This window comes from Homo sapiens, chromosome 2 (assembly GCF_000001405.40).
Source record: "Homo sapiens chromosome 2, GRCh38.p14 Primary Assembly".
Classification (NCBI taxonomy): Eukaryota; Metazoa; Chordata; class Mammalia; order Primates; family Hominidae; genus Homo; species Homo sapiens.
Window position 1 is genome coordinate 166528275 of NC_000002.12, and position 19702 is coordinate 166547976.

General features: G+C 34.7%; 1 long non-coding RNA gene across 1 annotated transcript in view; it reads left to right on the forward strand.

Moving 5' to 3' along the window:
• Positions 1–19329, forward strand: part of LOC124906087 (uncharacterized) — a 46983-nt gene extending 27654 nt beyond the window's left edge. The window contains exons 2-3 of the long non-coding RNA XR_007087280.1: positions 18559–18702; positions 19251–19329. This is a non-coding gene — a long non-coding RNA (uncharacterized LOC124906087). The remainder of the gene's footprint in view (positions 1–18558; positions 18703–19250) is intronic.
• The last annotated feature ends 373 nt before the right edge of the window (positions 19330–19702 follow it).

Here is a 19702-nt window from a genome sequence, read left to right on the forward strand (position 1 = left end):
TATAATTTTTCATAGAACTCTCTTACAATCCTTTTTATTTCTGTAGAATTATTAGTAATGCCCCAACTTTTATTTCTGATTTTAGTAATTTGAGTCTTCCCTCTGTTTTTCTTAGTCTATCTTGCTAAAGGTTTGACAATTTTTTTAATCTTTTTTTTTCAAAGAACCAACTTTTGATTTCATCGATTTTCTCTATTGTTTCTCTATTCTGCATTTTATTCACCTGTGCTCTAATCTTTATCATTTCCTTCCTTCTGCTAGCTTTGTTTAGTCTATTTTTCTTTTATAGTTTCTTAAGTTATAAAATCATGTCATTGATTTGTGATCTAATTTTTTATAGTAAGTGTAAAGCCTCTGCATTTTAAATATATCATTTTTCTCCAAACTGATTTATAAAGGCAATGCAATTCCAATTGAAGTCTCTGCAAATCTGTTTAAATTGAAAAGCCAATTTTGAAGTCGATATGGCACTATAAATAGCCAAAATTAGTGGACATAATACTCTTGACAAGAAAGAATATGGTTAGAGGATTTATGCTATCAGAAGTGAAGACTTATTATAAAGTACAATAATTAAGGCAGTGTGGTATTGGCATAAAGATAGACAAATCAAACAGTATATTAGAATGGAAAGCCCCAACACATATAGACACATGTTGATTCATAATAATTTATAATGAAGTTGATACAAAAATGCTTTTGATAAAAAATGATCTATTACATAACTAGTGCTGGGTTAATTGAATAACCATATAGAAATTTATAGATTATCCTTACATAGATTTTCTAAAAATATATTAATCTTGACTCTATACCATCCATAAAAATCCCTTCTATGAGTATGATAGACCAAAATATAAAACTTACATCATAAAATGTCTAGAGGATATTGTAAGAAGCTATTTTTCATGATCTTGGTGTAGAAAAGGATTTCTTAAAGAGGATAGAACAGTACTAATCCTAAACAGGCAGATCTGCAAATTGAACGCTATTAAAATTTAAAACACTCTTAATCAAAAGACACCACTAAGAGAGTAAAACTGCAAGCCACACACAGAGAGCAAGTATTTGCAACACATATACCCAAGAAAGAACTAATATCTGGAATATATAAAAGATCATGTAAATCACTAGGAGAAGGGTAGACAAGCAACTTTTTTTAAAGGACAAATAATTATAACAAGAATATCAAAAAAGAGGCTATCTAAATTATCAGTAAATATATGAAATGTTACTCAGTTTCATCTGTCATTAGGGATATTCAAATCAAAACCACAATAAAATACCAGAACAAACCTACCAGAATGGGAAAAATATACACGTCTGACGATACCAAGTTATGACAATACCACACTTCATATTGTGTTATTGGGGAGGAAATTTGTAAATCCACTTTGAAAAACTGTTTGGCAGTGTCCATTAAAGGTTAAAATTCACATACCTATGACTAAGCAATTCAACTCCTTGATATATACCTAACAGATATATAAATACTCCAGAAGATACATGCAAGAATGTTATGGAAATAATATTTCTAGCAGCCAAAACTAGAAATTATTTAAATGTTCGCCAAGAAATTGATACATAAATTATGGTATATTCAAATTACTGCTACACACAACATTTGGATGAATCTAAAATCAACATATAGAGCTAAAGAAGGTAAGTACAGAAGAATACATACTTTAGGATCTTACCTCTATAATGCATAGCAACAGCCAAAACTAATCTTTGGTGATATAATTCAGACTAAAGGTTTCTACTGGGGATGGTGCTAAAGATGGGGCACAGGGGAGATTGCTTAAGTGATGGCTAGTTTCTATATTCTGATTTGCATGTTGGTGGTAGGATTTTACCATATTCTTACTTTGAAAATTCACTGAAATGTACACTTACATATATATGCTTCTATAAATATATTAATATATGTTATATTAATATATATTAGTCTTTAATAAATATTAAATAAAAACCCAGTTTTAGTAACACCTTATCCGGGCTAACTTCTATAACTTTCCAGGCAGGGTGAAGCAATCCTTCTGCGTTCACAATGTATTGCTTATGTGTCTTTTTGAGTACTCATAAAGGTAAATTGAAAATGTGTCAGTTTACTCAACGGATTCATAATTAACTTGTTTATTCTTTAAGGAGAGTTCTGTGAAATGCAGGGGCAAGAATCCTTAAGGAATCATAGTAACCATTTTGTAATCCATGTTGATATTGGGAAAACATCTATGGGTAATGCTCTCTTCAGCTCTGCCCTGGGCTTGCTGTGGTGATCCTTGAGATGACAGGGCTTGACAAAACAGCCTACCAGGAACCTGGGGGACCTTTCTCCAAGAAGATGACACTTTCCTGCATGGTATCTAGTCCCTCAGATCTGCTTCTTTTTTCTTAGACCAGAATCCTGCCAAAATTCCCCTCCATTTTCTTTCTTCATTCCTCACTAATTTTACCAAGTGATTAAAGTGTGTGTTAGACATTGGTAAAGAGTATTTCAGCAATGTGTGATCAAGACAGATTTCTTCATGAAGATATATTCTTCCATGTTTTAATTTAGCTGGTATTGATCTTCCAAAATACTGGCTTCTTGAGCTGTGACGCAGAGTAGAAGTTTCTTCTCTCTGAACTCATAAGGTAGACTATGTTTATTTTACTCTTATTGTTTAAGGAGTCATAAGTTTTGCATATGAATCCAAGTTACTGTACTACCTCTAGTGTATTCAGGGCATCCTCTGCTGAAGTACTGTTTACCAGTGTCTGATCCTGCCGGCCTTTACACAAATGGCAGCATTTTTGTGCTTTTTAAATACTTTCCATCTGTCTCCTATTACAAGAGCTTGTTGTTCTCTTCACCCAAATTCTGTTTCTCCTTCTCTTTGCACAGAATTAACTACAAATTTCTTCAGTCTCTAGTACAAAAAAGCCCTAACTTTATTCAATTCCATACCATCGGCTACATCTCCAGAGACCTGGTCTTAAACAGCAAAGCAGCAAGATGGTTTTAGAGTCATCCAGGCATGTTTAATATTGACCTTATCATTCCAGCCAAGAAAAGCTCCTACTGCTTTAGAAATTGGGTTTCCAAGCAGGATGAAAATATTGTTTAGTTTGCAAATTTACAGAAAAGTTTCTCTTTCTCTAGGTAATAAGAATAAAGAACAAAGGAGAAAAAAATGTACAGAATACTTTATGTCTTTTACCTTGATAAACATTTTCCCCCAAATCACAACTCAAGTCTGGCCAACTTGCGTGCCTGTCAACAGTAAATTTCAGTGTCATGTATTCATAGCTAATCAGTACTCTTTTCTTCTCTTTAGGTTGATATTTTAACCCTAGATAAACTCTGCTTTCATTTTGAAAACAAATTTGTTATAGAGGCAAAAATAAATCCCAAACCAGTTTCTAGTTCCCTCTGGTCTATCCAGGAATACAACTGTTATATAACCAACTAGTTACTTAAGCCAGAAACTTTGGAATTGTTATGGTTCTTTCCTCTCCTTGATCCTCACGACTATTCCATTATTACTAATGGAACCTATTGATTTCATGCTTAAATAGCTTTCAAGTCCATATACTCACCCAGACTTGCAATATCGCTATCCTACTCCATGCTACTAGCAGTGTTCACTTGGAGTAATGCAATGGCTTCCTAATACAAGGGTCCCTAGTAGCTAGAAAGAGCAAGGAAACAGATTTTCTCGAGTCTCCCAAGGGGAGTAGCTCTGTGCACACCTTGGTCCATCCACATATTCTCTTCCATTTCAAGCAGTTGGAGAAAAAATGTTTTCACAGTACCTAAAAGACAGATTACATCAACCCATTTGTCCTAAAAATAAATATCAAAATCCTTAATGCAACTTGCATGGCTCTACCTAGTCTGACATCTTTCTACCCTTCTAGTCTCTGGTCACTCCAGAACCCGCCTCACTGAATGCATCCCAGCCACATACGCCTTCCTGCAGCTCCTAGAACAAGCTGTGCTGCCTCTCTCATTCATCCTTCAGAGCCCAGAGAAAGCTTTGTTGACCACCCTGAGTAGATCAAGCTCCCCTACTCTTTCAATTATAGCAGTTGCCACATTAGTAGTTTAATGTGTTTAGTAATTTAATTTGATGAATTATTTAAAGAATTTTTGTCACTTTTTCTGAACAGAAACTAAATACTGACAGGAACTTAGTTGTTTTTTCATTCATGATTATCTCAAGTACCTAGCACCGAATGTGACTCATGGCTTTTAGCTCATTAAGAATTTGATGAATGAATGAATGAAAAAATAATCATCTAGCCTGTGTAAATAAATAAAAGCATTTTAATCTTGGCTACATTCTCTTAAAAATTCTAAAGGCTTGAAATATTAGTATGACATTTTCTTTAAAATTATTTTTGATATTTCTTATACTTCTCCATTTCTTCTCTCCCTTTTCTTCTCTCCCAAGAAAATCTGTGCCCAGCCAAAATAAATCCCACTAGCTTTTCTTCTTCCCCAGCGTTTTCTTGCATTGGCTTACTTATTAGAATAAGTATGATGCTTTCTGGTTAGAAGATAATCTTTATAGAAATAAGTGAGAGCTGGGAAGAAATAATGGTTAACATCTACTGAGGGCTTCTTATGTGTCAGACACTGGTTTAAACACTTTATATGCGTTGGCTTATTTAAACTTCAAAACAACCCATTAGGTTAATGCTAAGACAATTCCCATTTTATTGAGGAAAAAATGTGAAGCCCAAAAGAGTTAGTAACTTGTCAAGATCTTAAGGATGATAAATGGTTGAGACCCTGTCTGAGCCTGGAAAGTCAGGGTTCACTGTCAATGATCTTCATCACTTAGTAACACATTGTCACCTCCCTAAAGCAACAAAACACTTATCATTGGGAGTGATCGTGGAATAGGCTGTGGAAATGCATGCATTTACAGTTTTTTTGTGTGTGTATTATACTGCCTCCCTCCCTCTGCTCAGTGTTTATCACAAACCCTTTCCAGGCCAATAAAAAACCAGTAGAATGAACTATTAAATGAAATAATTGATTACCCAATGAGTCAGTCAGTTAAGTGGTACAATTTAAGGAGTTGAAGCAAAAAAGTGACCGATAAACAATGTGTGTTAGGAAGAATAACCCATAGGATAGATTGTAGAGGCAGCCTTGAAAAACACTAGTGTCTAGACACATGATATGGAGTAAAGGCATTTAGAATAGAATATAATCATGAAACTGGATAGAGAGACACCCTTTACAGAATGTATTAAATGTGAAGTTTTTAACTATTCTTTCTTTTACTTCCATTTACATAGCCATAGAAGGACACATAAGGTAGTTATTAAAAAACGGGAAGAAAATTTACGTCTATATAAGTTGTTTAACTATCTCATGGCCCAGATTAGAAAGTTACTGTCTAGAAAAAGTCTGGCTTCTGCCTTAACTGAACTTATTTCTCACTTAACATCTCACAGGAATTACAGTAACCTCTCTCACTGTAGTTTCAGTGATAAGAAAGGAATTTAAATTGTTTCCAAAAGGGTCTTTCTCTCTTTACATTCATCTTTCTTTCTCTTCTCCAAACCGTATTAAATTTATTCTCAAGTTTCTAAATTCTACTCTGGTAATCAGAATAATGCTCCCCCTGGAGATGTCCACCTTGCAATCCTCAGAACCTGTCAATATGTTATTTGTCTAGAAAAAATGGTCTTTGCAGATATAATTACATTAAGGATCTTGAGATGGGGAAAGTGTTTTGGATTGGATGGGTTGGCCCAATATAATCGCAAGGGTTCTTATAAAAGGGAGACAGGGATGTCAGAGCCAGAGTCAGTGTTTCGGAGATGATACTGTTGTCTTTGAAAATGTAGTAAGGGGCCATAAGCCAATGAATGCAGAAGGCACCTAGTAGCTGGATAGCGCAAGAAAGCAGATGATTCTCTATAGTCTCCGAAAGGTTGCAGCCCTGTGCACACCTTGATTTGCAGGATTTCTGACCTCCGGAATTGTAAAATAATAAATTTGTGTTGCTTTAAGTGATTAAATTTCTAGAAATTTGCTACAACAGCAATAGGAATCTAATATCTCTGTGGTATGTCTATAATAATTTTTTTTGTGTTTTAAGGTTGGCAAAGGAAAAAGGAACTAGTGTTGATTCACCCCAAAGTGTCAATTATTTTGCTTTTGCTGAGGCAAAGGACAATCGAAGCAACTCTTGAAACATTCTAAGGTTAAAAATATTCAGTTTTTTTTTTCTTTCAGAGTCACTTTAAGTGGCTTCAATATATTTTAGTTTTTCAAACTGGATTAGTCCTGGAGGAGTAAGAAATTGATAGTGAGAAGAGGACGAGGAGGCAAATGTAGATGTGAATACATGCAGACTTGATTTAGATATATGCATAATTTATAAAGTACCAGTTTGTAAATTACCAATTTTCCTATTCCATTGTCTAAGATTGTCAGAAGAAATGACAATAGCCCCAGAGAGTTTACAATACATAAAAGTAAGCTGGGTGCAGTAGTGAATGCCTTTAATCTTAGCACTTTTGGAGGCTGAGGTGGGCGGGTCCTTTGAGCTCAGGAGTTTGAGACTGGCCCGGGGAACACAGCGAAATCCTGTCTATACAAAAAAAACACAAATTAGTTGGGCATGGTGGTGCTTGCCTGTAGTCCCAGCCATTCAGGAGGCTGAGGTGGGAGGATCGCTTGACCAGGGAGGTGAAGACTGCAGTGAGCTGTGTGTGACAGTCTGGGTAACAGAGCAAGACCCCGTCTTACACATACACACAAAAGTATGTATCTGTTTGATAATAAATCTTACTACATAAAAGACATTCTGGAATCATATCATTCAAACTTTGCTAGTAAATTAGAACCAATGTTTACATTTTTCTCTGTATTAATTACTCCCTTTTATGCATATCCTAAACTAGGATTTTCACTTCAAATTGTTTTCCACCAATATCCCTACTTGTAATCTAAATATTTGATTTCTTGGTTGTGTTGAATTGATAGATGTTTATCTTTTCCCATTTATTGTACAGTTAACCTCTTTCTCGCTACTACCCAAAACCTTTGCAAGGTTGATTGAATATATATTTACATAATATTGGAAAGGATTTATGTCTTGGTATAATTTAATATCAAAATACAACAGATAGGAAAAGTATCCTATATTCTTTATATAATATTACTAATGCTATGCAGATAAATTGGGAATAATTTCAAAGTATCTTCTGACTGTACCTGTTAAATGATGTGTGATTAGCAAGTTTTAATCCTCAAAGTAATTTAAGAAACAAACCTACCTGCCAGACATCACTTTCACCTCCATTACACTTACTCAGGGAGAATTCTCACAACCCAAATAAAGTTTTGCTTTCCCAGAAGCTGCAGAGTACAAACTGATGGGCTGTGATCTCACTAGATGATCCCAAGAGAATCTGTTATTCCTGCCTGATAGTATGAAAGCATAGACCTTATGAGTATCTCAAGTCATAGATTTAAGCAAGACCTCTAGAATCTAGAACCTAAAAGAAGGAGCAGGTATCCATTTAAAATGTCCCAGACAAATGAGCCTTTTTACCTTATCTCAGTTACCTCCTGCCACCATTTTTTCAGTTAAGAATGTGTCTTTGTGCTTGTGTTATTCTTCTGATGTACAGTTGAACATTTGCACTGGATGAAAACAAGAATTGGTAGCCATTCTTCCTTTAATGCGTTTGTTCTTACATCAATCATCACTTTATAGTTAGACTTCGTTATGTTAAACCATTCATTTAAGGGGTGACTACCGCTGACCCACTTGTAATTCATTCCACAGTCTTTTGAAATTTCACATTGTCTCTTTAGGTTCAGTTCCAGTCCATTTCATGGTCAGACTGTAATGTCTTAGTCTCCCATGAGCTTCATTATAGGCCATCATTTAAAAAGTCCTCTTAAAGAGTTGTCAAATAGAGAGGAAAACAGCATGTTTTAGAGTTACTCAGCTTTTGCGTATACTCTAGGCAGATGGTAACATTCCAGAAACAATCTGGACTTGTGTTCAAGTAGCCTTGGGCACTTACTATAGTTTCTATGGTTCCTATAATCAGGGGGTTTGAGTGACTTTAATTAATCACTCTTTCTGCCTTTGGGAATTTAACCAGTTGAAGCCTGACAAAGAACCAGGAAGTATTAAAACAGGCTCAGAATTCTTACAGTAAAGCTGGATTGATGATTACGAGAGGGTCTTGCTACCTTTATTTTGAGACAAGAACTTGACATCCTCCCCTCTCTGACCTGTCCACCGTATTGCAGGTAGATATGCAAGACCTAAAAGAGACCCTGCTTCTTTAGCCTACGTCATGGAAATTACAAGCATGAGTATTTGCTGTGTCTGGACACAGTTCTCTTCAAAGCATGAGAGAGAATTGGGTCCATGCTGCCTGGATTATAATGCTGGGGTCCTACACTCATGGCAATGTGATTCATGGAATGGCAGATTCTCAACTGGCTTCTCACTTCTTCTACCATGGGACAAGGCAGGAAAGGAGGATGGGAAGAAGTACACCTTACTGGGAAGTGGAGTGGAGATGCCTCCAAAGAAAAATGGATAAGAGAAATAATCCCCTGCTCCCAGGAAAATACCCTTATGTGCCAGACGTATGACACTCTGGACTTCGCAGTATTTCTATAGAGCTGTTAGAAGTTGTTCTAGTACTGCCACCTTTCAGCTACAACTTTGGGTAAATATATTCTATTAGGGTTCTCCAGTGGGACAGAACTAATAGGATATATGTATATATGAAAGGGAGATTTTTAAGGAGAATTCACTCATATGATCATAAAGGGAAGTCCCACAATAGGCCATCTGCAACTTGAGGAGGTAGGAAGCCAGTAGTGGCTCAGCCTGAGTCCAAAAGTCTCAAAAGCAGGGAAGCTGACAGTGCAGGCTTCAGTCTGTGGCCAAAGGCCTGAGAACCCCTTGCAAACCACTAGTGTAAGTCCAAGAGTCCAAAGGCCAAAAAACCTGGAGTCTTATTTCCAAGGTCGGGGAAGTATTCAGCATGGAAAAAAGATGAAAGCCAGAAGACTCAGCAAGCCAGCTTATCCCATCTTCTCCTGCCTGCTTTGTTCTAGTCATGCTGACAGCCAATTGGATGGTGCCCACCCACATTGAGGGTGGGTCGTACTCTCCCAGTGCACTGACTCACAAACACACCAAGAAACAATACTTTACCAGCTATCTAAGCATCCTTCAATCCAATCAAGGTGATACCTGATATTAACCATCACATATCTTAAGTATCTAAACCCCAGTTTCTTCACCTGGAAAATGGCAATAATACTGGTAGGGTTGATGCGGATATTATTATTTTATTAATTTAAATAGGTTTTCCGGGAACAGGTGGTGTTTGCTTACATGGATAAGTTCTTTAGTGGTGGTTTCTGAGATTTTGGTGCACCCATCACCTGAGCAGTGTACATTGTACCCAATGTGTAGTCTTTATCCCTCACCCCACTCCCACCCTTTTCCACAAGTCCCCAAAGTCCACTGTATCTTATGCTTTTGCATCCTCACAGATTAGCTCCCACTTAAGTGTAAGAACATACGATGTTTGGTTTTCTATTCCTGAGTTACATCTCCAATTCCATCCAGGTTGCTGCAAATGTCATTATTTCATTACTTTTTATGCATGAGTAGAATTCCATGCTCTCTCTCTCTCTCCATATATATATAGCTACATATATATAATTATATATACAATAGAAATATATATAACTCAAATGTTAATCTCTTTTGGCAACGCCCTCACAAACACACCAAGAAACAATACTTTACCAGCTATCTAAGCATCCTTCAATCCAATCAAGTTGACACCTGATAGGAATGTGACATATATAGCTATATACATTTATATAATTATATATAGCTATATATGAAGATATATAAAGACATGTGACATATATAGCTATATATATATAATTTAATATATATCATATTTCTTTATCCACTTGTTGATTGATGGGCATTTGGGCTGGTTCCATAATTTGCAATTGCAAATTGTGCTGCTACAAATAAGTGTGTGCAAGTATCTTTTTTGTATAATGATTTTTCCTCCGGGTAGATACCCAGGAATGGGATTGCTGGATCAAACGGTAGACCTACTTTTAGTTCTGTAAGGAATCTCCACATTGTTTTCCACAGTGCTTGTACTAGTTTACATTCCCACTAATGGTGTAAAAGTGTTCCCTTTTTACCACATCCACACCAGCATTTATCACTTTTTGATTTTTTGATTACGGTCATTCTTGCAGGAGTAAGGTGGTATTGTATGATGGTTTTGATTTGCATTTCTCTGATCATTAGCGATGTTGAACATTTTTTCATATGTTTGTTGGCCATTTGTATATTTTCTTTTGAGAATCGTCTATGCATGTCCTTAGCCCACTTTTTAATGGGATTGTTTGGATTTTTTCTTGCTGATTTGTTCCTTGTAGATTCTGGATATTAGTCCTTTGTCACAAGCATAGATTGTGAAGATTTTCTTCCACACTGTGGGTTGTCTATTTACTCTGTGGACTGTTTCTTTTGCTGTACAGAAGCTTTTAAGTTTACTTAAGTACCATCTATTTATCTTTGTTTTTGTTGCATTTGCATTTGGGTTCTTGGTAATGAAATCTTCACCTAAGCCAATGTCTAGAAGCGTTTTTCCAATGTTATCTTCTAGAATTTTTATGGTTTCAGGTCTTAAATTTGATCCATCTTGAGTTGATTTTTGTATAAGGTTAGAGATGAGAACCCTGTTTCATTCTTCTAAATCTGGCATTGCCTGACTTGTTTTTGTCTACTATTTGTATGCAATTCCCAAAATAGATGTATTGAAATCTCAAGTATACTTGAGCACTAAGAAGAGCATAATATGACCTCATTCATGCATATGTAAATTACCCTTAGATGTGTGTGACCTCTCTTATTCCCAAGTGTTATTGCCATGCCCCCTTATATCACCATCACGTTCTTATTTTCACCAAATCAGGGTTTCCATTGCAAACCTTCCTTTGTTTAAAACTGATACTTGAATGAGTACTTCTGTTGACTGGCCCTGTACATATTTGGCTAATTCCTTAGATCTAAGAACGGCTTCTCTTGCACGACTGTTTTTCCGGATGGCAAACAAGAAACACAGCAGCAGTCTCTTGACTGTGCCTGCTTTGAGTCCGTGCACAGCCTTATGCCAGCTGCCTAATTTCTGAGTCTTGCCCATGACGGATTAGTTTTCACTTCCAAGACCTTATCCCACCATAGAACACTAGGTGGCACTAAAATCACACTGAATGGTTCTCATAAGGGCCACTGATATTGTGGTGGTGTTTTTTAATCATATCGATCTCAAATTCTGACTTTTTTTTTTCTGTGCCATTTTCTTAAGCCTCATATGTACACCACACTTCACAGTCATTTGTAATCAACTGCAAGTTTCATATTGCAAAAATAGAAAGAGAAGAAAGTTGAAACAGCAGAACTATCAAGCTTATTTGCCCACGCTGCTTAGGTGTAACTGAAGCCAGGAATCTGAGCTCCACAAAGTATAAATTAACTTCAGATGAAGTTTGGAATTTGTTTATTAGTCTCCCAATCTTCATGGCCAGAATGGTTTAGAAAGCTTCCAAAATATGATTTCAGTAAAACTTAATTTGATCCTTTCGGAATTAGTCATTTAAATTTCAGAAGAGTCAATTGGTGCAGGTTCATTGCTTATGTAGTACGATGTAAACATTCAGCATTACTCACACTTTTTGGAGGGAATCTGGTTTAGAAATATTTTTCCCTATATGAAATCATAAATATATTCTATCATTTAACAGTTCATTTTTTCATACTAGGCCTTTAATCTGCAATGCATTTTTTAAAGTCTAGTGAGAAAAAAGAATTTGCTGAGGGAAAAAGTCTGTGGAAGGAGTTGAGGAGCACGGGGACATAGAATGTATTAAAGTGTCTATCCTGTCTCACAGGAAGATAGATATTAGTAAATGGAAAACAAAAGTTGGAGGGAGAGGCAGCAACCAGAACACATTTGAAAACAATGCATGAATTTAAAACCATCAAATGAAATTTGATCGCTGTAAAGTGCAGGGCAAGAAAGGAAAAAATGAAAAAAAATATTGTAAGTAAAAAATAAAAAGTAACTTGGCAAAATATTTGTTTTAGCCAGATTGGGATGCCATAACAAAACACCATAGACTGGATGGCTTAAACAATGGGAATTTACTTCTCACAGTTCTGGCGGCTGGGAAGTCCAAAATCAAGGTGCCCATCAATTCAATTCCCCAGTGAGAGCCCTCTTTCTCACTTGAAGATGCTACCTTCTCGTTGTGTTCTTTCAGGGCAGAGAGAGGAAGCAGGCTCTGGTGACCAAGGACACTGACTCCATCATGAGGGCTCCACTCTCCTGACCTCATCTAAACCTAATACTTCCAAAGGCCTCATCTCCAAATATAATCACACTGGAGGCTAGGACTTCAACACATGAATTCTGGGTGGGAGGCACAATATAGTCCATAGTTACTTTGTAGATAGTACAAAGTAACTATATATTTTTTTCTATGGTAATGTAGTTTTTAAATGTTCTAAATGGATTCAGCTCACTAATTAAAAGACTGGAATTCTAAAATTATATACATATTTAAATATTTTAGCATATATATACATTCATATATAATTAAATATTTAATTCATATATAATTAAAATATATATCTATTTGTATATGATGCATATACATAGTATTTATGTAATATCCATTAGGTATATAAATATATATTAGACATTATATATAGTATGTGTTTTTCCTTTTTTTCTTGGCCAACATAGTCTAATATTGTATATAGTACAGATTTTAGACAAGCAATGCTAACAGAATCAATGAAAAATTAAGAAATGCTATAAAACAGAAACCAATTTAGCAAATATGCACAGTTTTTATTAAGAAAAAGATTGTTATATTGAATTGATTAGAAGGATTTGAATAAATAACAAGGTATATCACATTCATGATGGGAATGTTATAACAGTAAATGTTTAAAATATTGAGAATTTTCTCTCAATTAGCTTACGAAGTCAACATAATCTCAAAAAAATATGTTGGTTTTGTGATGTATATAACTGATCCAAATTTTTCATTCCAAACTTTATGTTGAATACTAAACCCTAATAGATTGCTAGGTTCACTTTAAGAAGATAAATGACAACACTGTTCAGATATTAGGACATTTTGTAAAGCTATAGTTGTAAAACTAATACCATCTTTATACATAAAGAAACAAGTCGATAAATGAAGCAGAATAGAAACTTTAGAAATGGATGCATGCACTTATGAGAACTTGATATATTATGAAGATGACACTATAAATCAATGGTTAGAAGATATTAGGAAAATATACTCTATAAAGGAAAAACACAAACCTGGATCTTTCTTATACCCAATACAAAAGCAGATTCCACATTATAGAAAAAGCATGTGAAATTAACACCATAAACAAAGAAAAGAAAATTATTAATAGAATAGCTTTGAGGACTATGGGCAAAAAAAGACTTCTTACACAAGACTACAGCATAAAGAAGCCGACTGTTAGGATGTGTCCAGATGTAAAGTTTTCTGTTCACTGAAGGATATCATTGATAAATGGGTAACCTGTTGGCTAAATTTAAAACGCATAAGGGATTGTTATCCGAAATAGAGAAATAACTCCTGTTAATCAAGAAAAAGACAGAAACTTCAATGGGAAAAAAAGGACCAATGAAAGAGACAAACTACCATAGATCAGATTTCTTCCCATAGCTAAACAGTATACAAAGAAACTTCATATTTATAATTATACAAATGCAAATCAAGGCAGTGAGTCATTACTCTTATCAGAAAGACTCTAATTTAAAAGGATAAACATAACAATTATTAGAAAATGTGCATAGTGTTAACTTTCACTCACTTGTAGTGAAAAGTAGTCTGGAAATATTTTATACATCATAGAGAAATTCCGAGAATCATATACAGGTAGATGATGATAAGGATTATGGTATTGCTTGTGGTGACAGTCATTTGGTGGCAATCTCATGATTGGTGGCAATATAATGATGTTTAAATGTAGTGGATGTTTATTGTGGTTCACCATGAAACACTAGAATAAAACAACATGTGTTCAGCAACACTGAAAGATCCCTTATCGGGGTCTGGATAAGAAAAGTAGAAAACAGGATGATATTTTCACCACACAGGTAAATTGAAAATACATATATCCACAAAACATATTACATATTTTAAAAAGCTATATTCAAGGGCATGCATCAAGCAAATTATCTTTGAGATGAGGGGAATAAGAATAGTGTTCATGAAAGAAAGACAAAAATAAAAGGATGATTGGCAGAGATTAATGACGGCAATGTGTTTTTTAGTTTTAAAATATGATTAACTCAGTGATTTGAAACTGAGCTCCAAAAGAAAAATAACTAAAAGGGAAAAAAAGAATGAAAGGAAGAAAAAAGCCACCTAATATCTATCTGCTGCTTAAAGTTCTGAACATTTTATTTAATATTTTAAAATGGACATATGGAGCATTTTAACCAATGGGTACACAGTAAGGAGAAGGAAATCTCCTCTAATGTTTCTAAATGTAAAATTCTTTGTCATTACTTATTCTTGCAACAATTATTTACTGTTGCAATTGTTTATTACTCCACCAAGACCCTTATATCATATATATATACCCTTATATGTATATAATGATTAATGCTTGTCTCTCCTGCTTATTGTTCTATGTGTGCTTTCCATCAGAAGATTCATTCTATTCATCCTAGAATATTCTCAGTCTTAACTCTTTGGGTAATTGTTTGTTTACTTCTTTCTCAATTTCATTTCTCATGTATTCCTATTAGAGATGAATTAGATCTATCTAGTCTGGGCAACATGGTGAAACTCTGTCTCTACAAAAAAAAAAAAAAATTAGCAGGGTGCAGTGGTGCATGCCTGTATTCCCAACTACTTGGGAGGCTGAGGTGAAAGGATGACTTGAGCCTAGGTGGTTGAGATTGCAGTGATCTGCAAACCTGGGCTACAGATCAAGACCCTGTCTCAAAATAAATAAACAAAAGAAAGAGGGAAGAAAGAGAGAGAAGGAAAGAAACAAAGAGAGAGAGAAGGAAAGAAAGAGAGAGAGAGAAGGAAAGAAAGAGAGAAGGAAAGAAAAAGAGAGAGAAGAGAGAGAAAGAAAGAAAAAAAGAAAGAAAGGGGAAGGGGGAAGGAAGGAAGGAAGGGAGGGAGGGAAAAAAGGAAGGAAGAATGGAGGGAAGGAAAGAAGACAAGGAAGGAAAAATGTTAGATTTCTCTAAATGTATCATTGGGCTCTGATCGTCTTTGTGTTTTTGCTCTTAAGTTTACTATGTCTTACATGTTTGTTGTGCATTTATTATGATAAGCAAATATTTGAATTCATTCTTTGGCTATGTCTCTTTTCAACCTAAACAATCTCTTTTTAAATTTTGTTGATTTTAATATTACATTTTTAATATCTAACATTTGAAACTAGTTCTGTTTAATGTCATCCTGCTCTGGTGTTTCCTAGTGTTCTCTTATGCCTTTGATAATCTGCAATATAGTCATTTTAGGTCACCTTAGATCTATCATTTTATATTGTATCTGAAGTGACAACTTCTTGAATTTTGATTTTGTTACCTATTGTTCTTAGCAATCATTTCCCATTTGTGTTGGAATTTGGGTTTGCAGGCACATCTATAGTGGCATTTGTTCTCTGTCTCTCTCTCTCTTGTGCTCACGTTTCTCTTGACTGTAGTTTTGAGTGTCTCAATTTGGATATTATAGTTCCTTACATATAACCAGATGTGATAGTGTCAGCGCTTTAATCTTCGGAGGATTATTGGGGATATCTCAGGTCACAGCATGGTTTAGTAAGCAGGTTCATACTAGTCTTCAGTGGGAAGATTTTTTAATTTTTTTCCCACATCTTTAGGTGTCCCTCTTTGTGGAAGTCATTTCCTTGGGAATAATTACAGCCTTTCTTTGCCCCCTTTATTTGGCGGGCCTGGATTCAGTGTCCACCCCTATGAACCATTTTTAGTCTCGGTTACTCCCTATCTACTCTGCCTGCCACTGGAGACAAAGTCTAATAAATCTAAAGTTTAGATCCTATTTTCTATTTTTACATCTAATTTCATTTCTGGTTCCCTAGATGTTTATCTTGTTTTGGGGTATTTCTATGTTTTTTTTTTTAATTTTTTCTTTCCAGATTGTCTGTATAATCAATATTTCTCTGACGTACAGAGCCTATCTCAAAGAGTTAACTGGTTTCCTTATCTTCTTTTTCATTAAAAACAAAAAAATAAGTAAGTGTAAGACGTAGGGAGATTCGTGTAAAGTCAGTTAAAATAAATTATTTTCTCCAATGAAGCCTTAGCATGTGTAAGTATATTCAAGTCCCCAAGTGATGTTTCAAAAATTACTTTCCTAAACTCATGCAAATTATTTTTAATCTGCTAGTTGCTAGTCAAGATTTTTAAAGTTTAAAATGACAAAATTATAGCTTTTAGAAGACTTAAGCCACTTTTTTTCTTTTGATGACACACCAGCAAAGCATAATTGCAAATAATATTGCTTAATAGACAGACTTATTTTAGTAGCTTAGTCAAACTTATTTTAGTGGATCTATTTTGTAAAAATAAAACTTGACGAATAAATGTGCTCTAACTGAGTCATTAATTCAGACCATTCTCTTTATTGGAAAGTGTAATTTTACACCAACTGTTGGCAACATATAAAATTTTGAAATTGCATTAAAAATAACATAGTACTTATAATTTCACAGGAGTATTTTGGTCACTGAGAGATAAATCTATGTTAATATTAATGAGATACACTTACTCAAATGTGCAGTAACTACTTGCAGTGTGTTTTGCAAAACTACTATAAAAATGATCGTCTCTGTGAATCATCCTTTACAGATATTTTTCATAAATATATTTATACATTAATTTGTATATGACATGTTTAAAGAACACTAAGTACATTTTTTCAAAAGACATTGCCAATTTTATCTTCATATAAGCTAATGATGTTGAAATTAAAGATATTGAAAAGATATTTTACTCTCTACAAGGCACAATTGAAATAAATACTTGAATTGCATTTGAGTGCTTTCAGTCCCGTTTTAGGTTTTAGAAATTAGTTATTTCCAATTTCATATATCTTTTAACTAGAAATCTGTTCATTCTATTAATTTAGCAAGTTTATAATTAGAAATATTCAGTCATCTTCAAGAGTTTTATTTTAAAATCTACCATTAACTGGAAGAACAGCCTAATCATAAACTATACATAGAAACAAGCCTCACCAACTTCACATGAATTAAATATGAAAAGAACATGGCCTCTAGAGTTGGAAAGATCTAAATTTGTATTCTGGCTTCACCACTTAAGGCCTCTATGACATTAAGGAAGTTATTTAAACCTCAGTTTCATCATCTATGAAATGCTGGAAATAGCACCTAACTCCCAGATTTCTTGGAGGATAACATGAGATAAGATAAAAACATTAGCCCAACACCTCTCCCTCATCAAGGACTCTCTCATTCATGATTCTATCAGATATGAGATCCCAAATGATTTATTTGATTCCTTGGAACCAAAACATCTAAAGCAAATTATTGTCTTTAATGTCTATATACTTTAACCAATAATCATTATTAAGTCCATACTATGAGGCCTATATAATTCTTGTGGTTGCAGGTGCAGACATGAGCTTGAATCTCCTTTGGTGAGGAAGAGATATTTATAAAAATTAGAAAGTGTTCTAATTTCAAAAAAAGAGGCAACTGGAATTTGGCCATTAGAAGAAGAAACGAAGAACCATAACATAATCAGACACAAAGCGAGTTATCCCTGTTTCTTGCTTTCTCACTCTCTGGGTTCATATTTCTCTCACCCCTGCTTCCTTTTGTGGCTCAGTTTTTTTCGTATGTTTTCCTGCACACCAAATGTCTTTAAGTTATTCATGGCAGCCAAGTGACAGACACTTAAGACTGTTTTGGATTCAGAGCCTGTATCTTCTCATATCTCTGGTCAACAACTCCATATTCTCTGGAGACAAATTCCAACTGGCAGTTCTGGCTGAATGTCCACCTGGTGCAATCAACTGTGGCAGGTGGCAAGGTCATGGGACTGACCACTCATTCAGAAAATAAGAAGGTCTAAGGTTCTAAGGATGTTATCTGTGCAGGTGGGACTGAATTGGTTTCTTGCCACTAATAAATATTCTTAAGAAGGGAAAATATATTATTCAGAGAAAAGGAACTTAAAAATTAGCAAAGGCTGATTTAAATAAAATCAACCACGTAATATCTAACTTCATGTAAATTTTTGCACATCAAACTTATTAAAATGCAGTGACAAAAAGGGTAATATTTATGAGAAATGAAGAAACTGTTCTGTGAAGCCAAGAATTCCAGGGCAAAGACTTTTGGTATTTTGATAAAATGTTATAATTGTACAAAACCTTCTTTTGACATGTTGTAAACTATATTTTTTTGTTAGCTCATTTGCTTCAATCACCTGGCTTATATGGAGAAGGACACAAAACAACATTTGGCGTCACTCAACTCCAGTGATAAAAGTTATTCCCCAAACCCCAGCTGAATGGATTCTATTGGTCTGAAGGATGGACAGATGAGACTCTATGTGTGTATTTTAATGTATGTTTGTGTAACCATATTGGAGAAAGGATTTATGGTAGCTAGTTTAATACTGAATAAATAATATTGAACTACTAGAAAAGTTTTCATACAGCAAGCCCTACTGAAAGTGGATAAAGGGTACCACTCTACATTATACAAGATATCAATAGTATTATCTGGAATTTAGATCTAGGAAAAAAGTTGTGACATCCAAGGACAAAGAGTAAGTGAGATAGAAGTAGAAAGATGATTTAGATTCTTGAAACCAGCTAATTATGCATAGGGACAATAAAATTTAAAATATGGCAACCAATGGACAGAGGAGAGATTAAATTAAAAAATTAATTCTTAGGCTGTGTGTTGATATGAAGAATTAATAATATATGAGTTTCATGGCTAAAAATTACTCTTTTTCTTGAACCAAATTACCTTTAGTTAAGTTCAGGTAAACCAATACTTACTGAATGCCCGCCATATTTGAGATTCTATGCTAAGTTTTGAGGACAAAGAATGAACAAAAGTTACAATGCCATTTTTTCTATATTTTAACAGATAATGCACAGGAAGACATGAATACATGGAACTACTAATTCAGCATTACTTTCAGAAATGATAGAAGCATGTAACAGGGCAAAAAAATGTGAAGAAAGTGTTTATGCTGCCAGTATTGTAATCACAGTGTATTCAAGGAACTCCACTGATGTTTTATAGAATCCAGATTTATGAAGCCTGGAGATTCACCATAAACCTTAGCATCAACTTGCTGAAGTGAATAGAAATGACAACAGATTTCTCCTCAATAGCAGTCAAAGCTTTAAGTCAAATGACTAAGATGTCAAGTATTAAATTGACAATCAGTGAATGTATAAAATCATTTCCTTTCTGTTTATACAGCAGAGCCTTCCAATGCATTTGAAATCAAGCATGGTAGACAATTACCTACTTCATGCCTAATATCTGGAATGAGTCCCCTTTCAACTTGTCCCCTTTTGGGACCCCTCTTT